Raw genomic sequence first — 15,486 nt, forward strand, 5'->3', positions numbered from 1 at the left:
GATTCTATCTGGACAGCTGGCAAAATGAACCTGTTGAGCAGTTACAAGAGTAAAGGATGAGTACTGAGTGGAAAGGATGGCCTGTCCTTGGGAGTCGGGTAAGGACACTTGAACTCATGATAGAAGCTAGGGAGCAAAGAGTGATCAGACAAAAGTTGTATCTATAGGAGGATGGGTGTGGATTACTGAGGCCAGTCCCTATGACCTCTCTCTTTCCAGGGCCAGGAACTATTACTGTTTTTTGTGACTTTGGTAAGTAAGTGAACCCAGGGCATGGTTTGCAACTGGCTGCGTTGGTCATTTTTATGAATCGATTTGTGCAAACCCATGGCAAGCTTTCCTAATATAAACAGGTGGAAAGAGAGAAGTCAGAGGGGCTGGCCTCAGTAATCCAGACAGCAAATCTTACAGGGAAGACCCTCCTTATATCCTGGGGAAATTGGTATATGAGAAGTTAACTGGGTTTTTACCCTCTGAAAAGGAAATTTCTATAAGAAAGGGAAGCATCACTGCATTGCTTGATAACATCTGTTTTATCTTGCTTGTTTTATCTGACTTTCTCCCATGGCCAAGGAAACATGATGAAAGAACCAATTTCTTTCCTCTTTTAGAAGCTCTGATCATGGAGGAGACCATATCTGCAAGTCATCTAGGACTCAGCTCTTTTAGAGCTATCCATGGACTGGGAGACCCTTCTCCCACTTCAAGGAGCCCCTCTTTTGTACCCCCCAAACTTCCTGGCTTACAAAATTTGCTGCCAGATGTGGTGGTGTGGGAGTGAGGGTGGGTGGCATAGGTCATGTTGGTAAAAGGCCTCCCATAGGCGGGAAAACTGCAGAGCCAGGGGGCCTAGGGGAAGGCATCTCTTGCCTAGCAGATGCTGACAGAGGAAATGGCACATTCTGCCCATGCATCTGTCCTCATGATTCACATGCCAGCAATTCCTCAGGCTAGAACATACCTTGTAGGTCATTTTCTAGCACATGCCGTAACTAGATAGCCCCTAGGTCTCTCTAGGAAAGGTGACTTTCTAAACTTTTTTTGTATTCTGTCTGTAAAGTACTGCATACTTTAAGGACTTTTTAAACAATAATAGAGAAATCAGCTTCATCCCTGCTTCAAGACACATCACAAAGCTCCAATCACAAAAACTCTAGAGTTTCTGTAGAGGGATTAAAGTGTGGCAGTCTAGTGACCTAAAGGGATTTGACTTGAAGCTGTATTTGCTTAGCACACACGCTGTTTTTATCTTGATTTTAAGTTTATTGGTGCAGCACATGGAAATAATGGGCATCAAAGCCCACACCTCCCAAGCTGGTCCTTGATGCCATCACTGAGCCCTAAGTGAGAGGCCTGCTTATAATAGTCCTGCATTCTCAGCTTCCCTTAACCCCAAGAATAGAACGGTGTCTTGCATGCAGAAATAGGTTATTGGTGAATAAATTGCTTAATGAATTATCTAGTTTCCCTAACAGAGCTGGTTACTTCTTTCTCATGTGAAGGTGAGCACCTGGTGAGGTTTTCAGGAATCAGGTTCACCTTGAACACCATACTCAGGCCTTGGCGGCTCTCTGGGCCTGCCTGGCTCCTACAAACACCATGCAGTGTTTCTGGATCTCCTAGGCCCTCTAGTGGCTATTCTTAGGCTGAAATCCCTCAGAACTCAGCCTCTCAGCTCCTGCTAAAATTTCAACCAGTCCCTGAATTTAGAAATATGTATATATACTTATTTTGCTTCTCGTAAACTGCAAAGAAATAAATTTAATTATGTCTAGTTTCTGATCAAGATTTATCTGGTCTCATAGCCTTCCCCTGGTTTGTGTTTTAATGAGCTTTTTATTTTTCAGTTGAAAGATTATACCAGATGTCAAGACTTAACAGGAATCAAGACAGCATGGATTGATATAAGGGTAGACATAATTATCAATGGACAGAGTACAGACTCCAGACACAGACCTACACCTATATAAGCAACTGATTTTCAAAAGTATCCTGCTTGCCTGCTTGTACCCCCAAATGGGCTCTCCCTCACCCCAAATGCATCTTTAGGTTTGTTTCAGAGAATTTCTGATGGTCTTTCTCGCACAGAAACACACAAGGGGTCTAAATGGGTTCTTTATGCAGAAGAGCGAAGATTTCCAGGTCCAGTGGGCCAAAGTGCCTTCCCCTGCAAAGCCTTTGAGTGATTCCAGGCACCAGGGGCATCAAAGCCTTGGTGGGACCAGAAACTATTGCTGTTTTTTATGACTTTGGTAAGCACGTGAACTCAGGGCATGGTTTGAAACTGGCTGTGTTGGTCATTTTTATGAACTGATTTGTACAAACCCATGGGAAGCTTTCCTAAATAGAAACAGTCTGCATTATGGTGGTATCACCTTCATCTGACCCCTGGGAGCTCTAAAGAAAAGCCCATGATACTCACCTGGCCTTCAGCCTGACCAGGGGATTAGGCCACTGGCCAGGATGAGACTGAAGGAGGAAAGGAACCTATACAACTACTCTTCCCTTGGTTGAAAGGAAAGTCCAGAGAGAATAGCTATTTGCAAATATCTGGGCTTCTACTGGGTGCTTACTGTTGAGTATCTTATATTGGGACACAGGTATGTTCATCTCCATTTTACAGATGAGGAAATCGAGGCTCAGAGTTAAATATATTTCCCAAGGTCAACTAAGTAAGTGGCAGGATTAGGATCCAAACCCAATTCTAACACTCTCTAAAACCCACTCTTTAGCTAGCCCCTGCCTCTTAGCTTTGGGGTTCAGGTTCTTGACTCAGTCTATGCAAATGTTGCCTTCTGGAATTTGGCAGTGCACAACCTGCACATCTGTACAGTGTAGCTGAAACCAACTTCTGGGTTGAAACCCTTCCATATTCAAGATTCTAAGCCTGGGCTAAAATCTAGAGCCTTGTTACTCAAAGTGGTCCCTGAACCTGCAACATCAGCCGTGTTTGGGAGCTTTTTAGAAATGTAAATTTCTGCTCTCCTGCTGCCACTCCCCCCAACCCCTTTCTATTGGATTACACTCTCCAAGAATGGAGGCTGCACCCAGGATTTCTCAGCTGTTATGTGCATTCAAATCACTGGGAATCTTGTTAAATGGAGATTCTGGCACAGGAGTTCTAAAGAGGTAGTGCTAAGCTTTTGCTTCTTCGGGCAGCTCCCAGATGATGCCGATGATGTGAGCCACACTTGGAATAACACAGCTTTAGATCAGTAAGTCTCAAACTTGAACCTGTATTCAAATCACCTGAAGAGCTCGTTAATACACAAATTGCTGGGCCCTACTCTCACACTCTCTTACAATAGCTGTGCACCTTCACCTTTACTTTCACCCCAAGAATAAAACAGTTTCTTGCACACAGAAATAGGTTATCCATGAATAAGTTGGTTAATTAATTATCTACCTTTGCTAATAGAGCTGGTTACCTCTTTCTCATGTGAACATGAGTACCTGCTGAGAGAGTGCTTCAGAGGGTCTGGAGTGGAGCCTGAAAATTTGCATTTCTAACAAGTTCTGGGCCCAGCATGGTGGCTCATGCCTGTAATCCCAGTGCTTTGGTAAGCCGAGGCAGGAGTATCACTCGAGGCCAGGAGTTTGAGACCAGCCTGGGCAATATAGTGAGACCCCATCTCTACAAAAACTTTTTAAAAATTAGCCAGGCATTGTGGTGTGAGCCTGTTGTCCCATCTACATGGGAGGAAGATCCCTTCAGCTGAGAAGTTCGAGGCTGCAGTGAGCTGTGATCTAACAAGTTCCTAGGTGATGTTGCGATGCTGCAGGTTTAGGGACCCCACTTTGAGAACCAGTGTTCTAGCCTATCAGAACTTCCTCTAATTAGACAACTAACTCCATGCTTTCTGGCATTTCATTTTTATAAAGCCCTATTCGGTCCTTGAATTCTAGCATTTTAGAGCTGAAAGGGACTTCAGAGGCTACCTTGTCTCAATTAAAGAAATGCAGGTCAAGGGTCCCACTCAAGGCCATACAATTAGCCAAGAGGCAAAGTCAGGATTAAGCATCCTGACTCACTCTATTTCTATGCTGTTTACTCTGCATCCTGCTGGCTCCAAAGCTCAATAAATTCCCTGGCATCCAGCAACTGCAGTATTTTTGGTGAGCTCTCCATCCCAGGCCAGCTTTGAGGTGCTAGAATCCCTGTCAGACACATATGTCATCCGCACAATCATGGAAACGCAGTGGCCTCCTACCTAACAGCTCTGTGAAAGAGGGCTTTGGAAAAAAACAGCAGCTGTGCTGGCCACTGTAGCAGAGAGAAAATGCAGCAGCTAGCAAGCAAACCCAGACAAGGTGAGTCAGCATAGAGGCCCTGGGGCTAAGGAATATACCAGGATACTGCCAACAACTGGCACCCAGATTCTCCTGAGCAAATCTGAGAAGGTCAATCAACTTCTCTGTGCCTGAAAAGATGCTTTTCTTTAGAGAAAACAATACTCTTATTCAAGGGAATGAACACACAAGAGGATATCAAAAATGTGCTTGGGGTGGGAGTTGTATCAGTCCTGCTGCATGACAAATCACCCAAAACTTAGTTGCTTTAAACGACAACCATATTCTTGCTCACAAGTCTCTGAGAAAAAGGAGAAATGCTTAAGATCCCTTGAAGCCTAGACTTGGAACTGGCATATCATCACTTCCTCCATACTCTACTGGCCAAAGCAAGACCCAAGGTGAGCCCACTTCTTAATGAAAGGAACTGTAACTTTACAGTATAAGGATGTAGAGAGGCGGAAGGTTTGTGGCCATTTTTGCAATCTACGACAGAGAGGTCTTCTTAGTTTAGGAAAGTCTGAGACAAAGATTCCAAAGCAAATGGTTTACTTGGAAAGGAAAGGAAATACCGGTAGGGGAGAGAAAAATGGAGACACAGAGAAGCAGCAGCCAGTAAAGGGTGCAAAGCCAAGTCGGCTGGCGCTCTGGGCAGCTGGAGTATAATTCCACTGGAGAACTCTGGAAGCTGGTGCAGGACACAGGCCTCATCATCATCCTACCTAAAGGAGGACGCCAGGATGTTTATACATCAATCCATGATATGGTTTGGATCTGGGTCCCTGCCCAAAACTCACATTGAATTGCAATCCCCGATGATGGAGATGGATCCTGGATCCTGGTGGGATGTGATGGGATCACAGTGGTGGATTCCTCATGAATGGCTTAGCATCCCCGTGGTGCTGCTCCCATGATAATGAGTGAGTTCTAATGAGATCTAGTTGTTTAAAAGTATATAGCACCTCCCTCACTCCAACTTTCTCTTGCTCCTACTCCTGCCGTGTGAGACATCTTATACCTCCTTCCTCTTCCACCGTGATTGGAAACTTCCTGAGGTGTCCTCAGAAGCAGAAGCCATTATGCTTGCTGTACAGCCCGCAGAACTGTGAATCCATTAAACCTCTTTTCTTTACAAATTACCCAGTCTCAGATATTTCTCAATGCACGAACACACTAATACAATCCGTATCAGTCATTTACTGAGGCTGCTCTCAGAGCACAGAAATTCCCTGTAATTTCAGCCCTCCACTCTGGGCAATGTGGCTTAAGAGGTCAGAGCAAGACCTTGACAAAAAAATAAAAAAAGAAAAGCAGATGCAGCTAGCTTAGCTGGACCGTTGTGCCCTGCAGCGGTTAGACAAAGAGGATAAAAGGGAAGGAGGATATGAGTAGGGCACCACCTACAACATATCCTTCACTGTGATGGTGATTAAAAAGAAAAAAAAAAACTCAAGTTTCAGATTTATGTTATTTTAGTCAAAACATCTTTTTTTCTTTTTTTAAGACTGTTTACTGTATTTTGGATGATGCCTCAGTTCTCTTGCTGGCAGAGGTTGGAACACTAGATGGCATTGTATTAAGTTGTCCTATAGCTCAGGAAAAAAAAAAATGCAAAGGGATGTTCCTAGTTGTCTTTGGAATTTAACAATTATCAGCATGAGTTGAGAGCAAACAACTGTCCCAGCCAAAGTGATGATGGGTCGCTTCAGCTCTACCAAGGCCACCACTCCATCTTGATCTCACACCTTGGCAGCAACATCACAAACCATGGGGGCCAAAGCACAAAGGGAGCAGGCTAAGATAGGAGGCATTTTCTAAAAACTAGGATTCGCAAAACCCATGGGAGGAGAAGCAGTAAGGAGAACGAAGCCTTCTGCCTCAAGAAAGGTCTTTGAGAGGCACAGAAAAATGGACTGCAAGAAAAAAGCAGCAAACTTATAGTAAAGATTTATTCTTACTTTAGTAATAGTAAAGATTTATTCTTTGCTGTAAGTTAGGTGTCTTGGTGTTGCCTGAAAAGAGATACTGCCTTTCTCCCTTGAATGTAAATGAGAGAGAACTCTTGATGTCTTTTACCAACTTAGAGAAAGCCCATACCCAGCCTTCACAAAATGCCATGAGAAAAAGAGGGGTCAGGTGTGGTGGCTCACGCCTGTAATCGCAGCACTTTGGGAGGCCAAAGCGGGCAGATCACCTGAGGAGATCAGGAGTTCAAGACCAGGCTGGCCAACATGGTGAAACCCCGTCTCTGCTAAAAGTATGAAAATAAAAAAAATGAAGAATTTACTCTTGGGGGCAGGAATGGAAATGAGAGTGGCAATAGGATGGGGTTGAAAGTGAGGGTCAAAGGCATTTAACATTTTCTTTAAAATATTTTAAACAAGTGAGATAAAATGTCAACAATGATCAATTCCTCATAATGGATATTAGGTGGATGTCATCTTATTATCTTTATCTTAAATTTCAAAAAAGAAGAGAAAAGAATATGATGTTCTCTTGTAATTAGCAAGGGCTGATAGGGTTCAAGAGGTGACACTGATATGGATCTTGAGTAACTGTTGACAAATACTTCCCTTTACTGAGCTTCCATTTTCTTGTTTATAAACTGAGGATAATGATAGTAGTGATGTCAGGGAATTGTCATAAACCTCGACTAAAATAATGTACTCGGAACAGTGCCTAAAGCAAGGTGGGAACAGTGCCCAAAGCAAGGGGGTCCCTCAAAAAATGCTTGCTTGCCCAGGACCCTCACCAGCCACCACCACCAATGTGAGTACAAGGATTAGTTAGGCTCATCTTTCTCACTGAGTCAAACCATACGATTGGCTGGTTGTCTGGATGTGATTAGAAACAGAAAAATCTTAAATAAAGCCTCATCCTGAATCCTCTCAATCCAGAGACAGAGTTGACCTAAGACCAAAAAAAAAAAAAAAAAATAGAAAATAGTTTTTGGAAATATGGGTGAAGAGACATCTCCTCTTATGGAAAAAGGGATTCTAGAATTTAACAATAAATATTCCCAACTTTCCCCAAGGCTTTAAAATCTACCTTGAAGGAGCAGCTGATGTATTTCTAGAACAGACTTAGGTGTCTTGGTGTGGCCTGTAAAGAGATACTGTCTTTCTCTTTTGAGTGTAAGAGAGAAAGGACAGTCTACTCAATAAAGAGTGCTGGGAAAACTGAATATCCACACACAGAATAATAAAACTAGATCCTATCTCTCACCATATACAAAGATCAACTCAAAACAAATTAAAGACCTAAATGTAAGACAAGAAATTATAAAACTACTAGAAAAAAACACAAGGGAAATGCTTCAGGACATTGGCCTGGGCAAAGATTTTATAAATAAGACCTCAATAGCACAAACCACAAAAGTAAAAATAGGCAAATAGGATTATATCAAACTAAAAAGCTTCTGCACAGCAAAGAAAACAATCAACAGAGTAAAGAGACAACCTGAAGAATGAGAGAAAATATTTGCAAAGTATTCATCTGACAAGGGACTAACAACCAAAATATACAAGTAACTCAACAGCAAACCATCGTCGTCATCATCATCATCATCATCCAATTTTTATAATGGACAAATGGTCTGAATAGACATTTCTCAAAAGGAGACACACAAATGGCCAACAAGTATAAGAAAGAATGCTCAACACCACTGATCATCAGGAAAATGCAAATCAAAACCACAGTGAGATATCATGTCATCCCAGTTACGATAGCTAATTATTTTTTTCTTTTTTCTTTTTTATTATTTCAATAGTTTGGGGGGAGCAGGTGGTATTTGGTTACATGAATAAGTTCTTTTGTGGTGATTTCTGATATTTTGGTGTACCCATCACCTGAGCAGTGTACACTGTACTCAATGTGTAGTACCACCCCTGAGTCCCCAGAGTTCATTATATCATTCTTACACCTTTGCATCCTCATAGCTTAGCTCCCATTTATAAGTGAGAACATATAAGGTTTAGTTTTCCATTCCTGAGTTACTTCACTTAGAAAAATGGGCTCCAACTTCATCCAGGTTGCTGTGAATGCCATTATTTCATTCCTTTTTATGGCTGAGTAGTATTCCATGGTATATATATACCACATTTTCTTTATCCACTCATTGGTCAATGGTCCTTTAGGCTGGTTCCATATTTTGCAATTGCAAATTGTGCTTCTATAAATATGTGTGTGCTGCTATAAAAACATGTATACTTTTCATACAATGATTTCTTTTCATCTGAGTAGATCTAGTAGTGGGATTGCTGGATCAAATGGCAGTTCTACTTTTAGTTCTTTAAGGAGTCTCCATACAGTTTTCCACAGTGGTTGGACTAGTTTACATTCCCACCAGCAGAAGTAAGGTGGTATCACATTTTGGTTTTAATTTGCATTTCCCTGATAATTAGTGATGTTGAGCATTTTCTCATATGTTTATTGGCCATTTGTGTATCTTCTTTTGAGAATTGTCTATTCATGTCTTTAGCCCACTTTTTGATGGGATTATTTGTTTGTTCTTGCTGATTTGTTTGAGTTCCTTGTAGATTATGGATATTAGTCCTTTGTTGGATGCATAGTTTGTGAATATTTTCTCCCACTTTGTGGGTTGTCTGTTAACTCTGTGGATTATTTCTTTTGCTGTGCAAGAGCTTTTTAGTTTAATTAAGTCCCATCTGTTTATCTTTGTTTTTGTTGCATTTGCTTTTGGGTTCTTGGTCATGAACTCTTTGCCTAAGCCAATGCCTAGAAGAGTTTTGGGGATGTTACCCTCTAAAATTTTTATAGTTTCAAGGCTTAGATTTAAGTCTTTGATCCATAAGATGGCTAATTATAAAAAAAAGATAAAAAATAGCAAATGTTGGCAAAGATGTAGAGAAAAGGGGAACTCTTGTACACTGTTGGTGGGAATATAAATTAGTACAGACATTATGAGAAACAGTAGGGAGTTTTCTCAAAAAACTAAAAATAGAACTATCATATGATACAGCAATTCCACTACTGAATATATATTTCAAGGAAAGGATATCAGTATGTCAAAGAGATATGTGCACTTCTATGTTCATTATTTATAAATAAATAAATAAATTATTTATTTATAAATGAACTCCAATGTTCATTTATTCACAATGGCCAAGATACAGATCAACCTAAGTATTCATCAACAGATGAATGGAAATGAATGTTTGGTAACAAAAAAAAAAGATGAATGGATAAAGAAAATGTGATATATATGTATGCAATGGGATACTATTCAGCCATATAAAAAATAAAATCCTGCCATTTGTGGCAACATGGATGAGCCTGGAGGACATTATGTTAAGTGAAATACCACATGTTCTCACTTATGTGTGGAAGCTAAAAAAGGTGAGGTATGGAAGTAGAGAGTAAAACAGTGGTTACTAGAGGCTGGTAAGGGAAGGGGGAAGGAGGAAATAGGGAGAGGTTGGTTAACAGATACAAAATTACAGCTAGGTAAGGTAAATAAGTTCTAGTGTTTTTCAGCACTCTAAGGTTACTATAGTTAGCAATATTTTATATTTCAAAATAACTAGAAGTAAGAATTTTAAACATTCCTAACACAAAGAAATGATAAATGTTTGAGAAAATAGGTATGTTAATTACCTTGATTTGATCATTACACATTGTATATAGGTGTCAAAATATCATACTATACTGCATAAATATGTATAATTATTGTGTCAATTAAAACATGTGTAGGACACAGCTAAAGTAGTACTGAGAGTAAAACGTATATCACTAAGTGCATACATTGCAAAAGGAGAAAATCCTCAAATAAAAATTCTAACCTCCCACCTCAAAGAGAAGGGAGGGCATGACAAAAATAAGAGCAAAAAAATCAACAAAATTGAAAACTTAAAATCAATAAAGAGCTGGTTCCTTGAAAACATCAATGATATTTACAAACATCAAAGCAGATAAAAAGAATAAAGGTCGGTATCAGGAATGAAACAGGGAATATCACTACAGATGTTTTCAACAAAAGGTGATGGCACAATTAAACATCCATAAACTATAAAATGAACTCTAAGTTTCACATCTTATACAAAAATTAACTAAAATTTATTATCCACTTGTGATATGGTTTGGCTGTGTCACCACCCAAATCTCACCTTGAATTGTAGCTTCCATAATTGCCAGGTGTTGTGGGAGGGACCCAGTGGGAGGTAATTGAATTATGGGGGTGGGTTTTTCCATGCTGTTCTCATGATAGTGAATAAGTCTCACAAGATCTGATGGTTTTATAAAGGGCAGCTCCCCTGCACATGGTCTTTTGCCTGCCACCATGTAAGACATGCCTTTGCTCCTCCTTCGTCTTCCACTATGATTGTGAGGCCTCCCTAGCCATGCGGAACTGATGAGTCTATTAAACCTCTTTTTTCTTTATAAATCACCCAGTCTTGGGTATTTTTTCATAGCAGTATGAAAATGGGCTACTACAACTTGTAAACCTATAAAACCTTTAGAAAAAAAAAAACACAAGAAAAACTCTTTGGTATATAAAACTAGGCAAAGGGTTCTTAGACACCAAAAATGTGATTCATAAAAAGAAAAATTGAAAAAGTGAACTCCACCAAAGTTAGAAAATTTTGCTCTGTGAAAGAACCTATTAAGGAGATAAAAAGACAAGGTACAAACTAGAAGAAAATATTTGCAAACCACATACATGTCAAAGGACTAGTACCTAGGATATATAAAAAGCTCTTAAATGAAACAGTAAACAAACAATTCAATTAGAAAATAGGCAAAAGAAAGAGATATTTCACTGAAGATGTTATATTGATGGAAATTAAACACATAAAAAGAAGTTCAACAACATTAGCCACTTGGAAAAAGCAAATTAAAACCACATTGAGATATCATTACACATCTATCAGAATAGCTAAAATTAAAAAAGAATTAACAAAACCAAATATTGGAAAGGATGCAGAGATATCATATCACTCAAATATTGCTGCTGGGAATATAAAGTGGTGTGGCTATTCTGGAAACAGTCCCACAGTTTCTTAAAAAAGGAATAAACATGCACCTGTGAGGCTGGGTTCTCATGCCTGTAATCCCAGCACTTTGGGAGGCCGAGGCGGGCAGATCACAAGGTCAGGAGTTCAAGACCAGCCTGGCCAACATGGTGAAACCCCATCTCTACTAAAAATGCAATAAATTAACTGGACGTGGTGGTGGGTGCCTGTAATCCCAGCTACTCAGGAGGCTGAGGCAGGAGAATCGCTTGAACGTGGGAGGTGGAGGTTGCAGTGAGCCAAGATCATGCCACTGCAGTCCAGCCTGGGCAACACTGTGAGACTTGTTCTCAAAAAAAGAAAAAAAAATGCACTTGCTATATGGCCCAGCAATTGCTCTCCTGAGCATTTATCTCAGATAAATAAAAATTTATGTTCCCACAAAAACCTGTACATGAATACTTATAGCAGATTTATTCATAATAGCACAAAACTACAAGGCACCCAGATGTTCTTCAGATGATGCATAGTTAAACAAACCATTCCATACAATGAAATATTACTCAGCAAGACAATGGAAGGAGTTATTGATACATGTAATAATCTGAATGAATCTCCAGGGAATTATACTGAGTGAAAAGAAAAGCCAATCCCCGAAGATTTCACACGATAAGCCTTTCTTTATATAGCATTCTTAAAATGACAAACTTAAAGAAATGAAAAACAGATTGCTAGTTGCCAGGGGTTAAGGACCAGGCAAGGGTGGAAGGGAAGTTGGTTTGACTATAAAAGTATAGCATGAATGATCCTTGTGGTGATGGAAATGTTCTGTATCCTGGCTGCATCAATATCAATATCCTTGTTGTGATATTACACTACAGTGTTGTAAGATGTCACCACTGGAGGACACTGGGTAATTGGTATACAAGATTCCTTTGTATCATTTTTTATAAATTCATGTGAATCTACAATTATCTCAAAAAGTTTATTTTAAAAAAATGTTAAGGCTAAAGTGAATTTCATATATGAAAGAGGTCAAGTGGAGAAATAATTGGAAAGAGCACTGGACGTTGGGTCAGGAGTTTTAGATTCAGGTTTTGATTCAATCAACTTAAGTAAATAACTCCTCTTGTCTAAAATTATTTGTATAATGCAATTGACAAGACCTGCTACAGTTATCTCCCAGAGTTGATAATAGGTAAAAATTATATTAATTAAGAGAAAAACTTTAAAAACATAAGAACCAAGGCTCTATATAAATATTTGGTATTTAAAAGCTTGCATTATATAAATGATGCCTCAAAGCCTATTTCTCCTGGTAGTTTAGAAATATAATTACCTGGATAAGACCACCAACTAATTTCACTTTCACCGTCATTCAGTAAATCTCAGAAATATAAGCAAAGAACAATCTTGGACAAGAGAAAAGAAGAACCTGATCTCTTTTCCAGCCCTATGACTCACTGAAGAAACCAGGAATATGCCACGTGTTCTCTTTCTGCTGCAAGGGTTGCTGTGAAATAACCTCATTTAAGCTGTGTTGTACAGAATGGACCACCTTAATGCTGAGATTCCAACATTTTCTATTTCAGGACTGGTTTGGGGAGATTGCACAGAGTTCATCCTATGATCCTTCATGTGAGAAGGAAGCCATTCGGCCATTTATAGCCTAAAGAAGACAGAGCTAGAAGGGATAAAGCCAATCTTGGCTATTGCTGCTATGGGAACAGAGGGTAGAGATCATTTGCTCCATTGTAGAAATTTGGAACTACAGTTGACCCTCGAACAACATGGATTTGAACTGTTTGGGTCACATACATGTGGACTTTTTTCAATAAAAGCACCTGTCCCTCTTGCCTCCCTTTCCACCTCCTCCACCTCTTCTACCTCTGCCACCCCTGAGACAGCAAGACCACCCCCTCCTCTTCCTCCTCATCCTACTCAAAGTGAGAAGAGGATGAAGGCCTTTATGATGATTCACTTCTTAATGAATAGTAATGATTTTCTTAATAACATTTCCTTTTCTCTAGGTTACTTTAGAATACAGTTACTTTAGAATACAGTGTATAATATATATATAATATATAAAATATGTGATAATTAGCTGTTTATGTTATCAGGAAGGCTTCTGGTCCAGAGTTGGCTGCTACTAGTTAGGTTTTGGAGGAGTCAAAAGTTAGACGTGGATTTTTGGCTGCACAGGATGTCTACACTCCTAACCCCAACCTTGTTCAAGGGTCAACTCTAATGGGAAGCTTTTGCAGCCATTAACTTTCAGTGATTTCAGTACACGCTAAACTGGCTTTTTAAAATGAGGGAATATATAAGCTCATTTAACAGGAAATTTAATAAAAGCTGGTTGATCCAGTACCCCAGTGTTATTACCTAGGACTTAGGTTCTCTACATTTCCTGTCTTTGCTATACACATGGTTGACTTCATTTTTAAGGCTGGTTCCCACCAGAGGACAATTGTGGATTCATCCACTTTCATTCAAATCTGGGGAGAGAGCGGGAGAATAGCTTGTTCTTTAGAGCAAGGCAGAACTTTCCAAGAAGTCTTCCACGAACCTCCCTTCACATATCATTGGCCAGAACTGAGTCACAGGACTTTTTATAAACGAATCACAGACAAGGGGGTATGAGCTAACCCTTAACCCAATCAGAGTTACTCCTGAAGCTGAGGGTATTCCTTGGAGTCACATGGACTACATGAAGACAGGGCACTTGAACAAAATTGAGGTTCTATTAGGAAGAAAAACTGAGGTTGTAAGTGCTATGTAAGTAGTTGGTGCTCAGTAATGCTGCCATCCTGTCTTAACTTAGCTAACAGGACTAAGTGACATATTTCTGAGGACTCTGATACTAAATGGTGTAAATATAGGGTAGAGTTTGATTTTTTTAGTTTTGACTCTTTCTTTAAACTGACTGTGAAACTTCAGGAAGTCAAGTTATTGAGCCCTTGTTTTCTTACTTCTGAAAGGAAATAAAACTGTATAACTTCGGGCAAGTTACTTACCTTTACAATGTGTCAGCTTTCTCTTTTGTGGATTCCTTATCTAAAGTTTAATAGTACTTTACTCATAAAGTTGTATTAGTTTTCTAGGTTTTCCATAACAAAGTACCACAGACTTTGTGGCTTAAACAACAGAAATTTGTTTTCTCATATTTGGAAAGCTAGAAGGCCAAAATCAAGGTGTCGACAGGGTTGATTTATTCTGAGGACCTTTCTCCTTGGCTCGTAGATGACCATCTTTTCTCTATATCTTCGCCTGATCTTGCTTCTGTGTGTGTCTGTGTCCTATCTCCTCTTCTTATAAGGACACCAGTCATATTGGATTAAGGACTACTTTAATGGCTTCATTTCACATCTTTAAAGACCATATCTCCAAACAGGTCACATTGTGAATACTAAAGGTGAGGACTTCAACATATGAATCTTGGGGTGATACAATTCCATGCTTTTGATGTAAGAATTACGTGATTTAATACATGTTAAGGATGTAAATCTATATAGTAGATGCATACTCAACATTAGTTATAAAATTATCTTATTTTCAGTAGTAGCAACAGATATAAAAACAATAGTATTTGAAGTAGTAATAGCATCACTAGCAGGGATAATAGCAGAACTGTCTGAGAGAAAAGGAGAAAGAATCCCTATGCAAGGAAGGGGGAAGATATACTTTATAGAGAAATGAGACACAAGAGAATAGTATTTGTTTCACACTCTTCCAGCTACTATGGCTGTGTAACATAGTATGTCAAAACTTACTGGCTTAAGTCAACAACACTTATTTTCTTCATGAAATCTGCAGTTTTGACAGGCCCAACAGGGATAGCTCGCTCAAACTGTACTTGTCATCAGCTGGAACGTTCAGAGTCTCACTCACATGTCAATGCCAGCTGTCAGCTGGGACCTCAGTTGGACACGTATGTGGGGCCTCTCCACATGGCCTGGGTTTCTGCACACATTGTTGCTGGTCTCCAAGGGTGAGCATCCTGAAAGAGAAAAAGTGGAATTGTAGTGCTTTTTATGACCTAACTTCAAAAGTCACTAAAAATTCCTTTGGTTGCATTCTACTCATTTGAGGCATTTATAAAGACTGTCAAAGTTCAAGAGATGGGGAAATAGACTCTTCCTTTTGATGGAGAGTGTCAAGGTCTGGAAGAGAATATGGGACTGCATTTACTGCTGTAGTCATGTTTGGAGAGTATAATCCTCCA

General features: G+C 39.7%; 1 long non-coding RNA gene across 1 annotated transcript in view; it reads right to left on the reverse strand.

Moving 5' to 3' along the window:
- Positions 1-15,486, reverse strand: part of SNAP25-AS1 (SNAP25 antisense RNA 1) — a 195,695-nt gene that overhangs the window by 65,322 nt on the left and 114,887 nt on the right. The window contains exon 3 of the long non-coding RNA NR_040710.1: positions 15,153-15,261. This is a non-coding gene — a long non-coding RNA (SNAP25 antisense RNA 1). The remainder of the gene's footprint in view (positions 1-15,152; positions 15,262-15,486) is intronic.

Source organism: Homo sapiens, chromosome 20 (genome assembly GCF_000001405.40).
Source record: "Homo sapiens chromosome 20, GRCh38.p14 Primary Assembly".
In the NCBI taxonomy this organism is placed as follows: domain Eukaryota; kingdom Metazoa; phylum Chordata; class Mammalia; order Primates; family Hominidae; genus Homo; species Homo sapiens.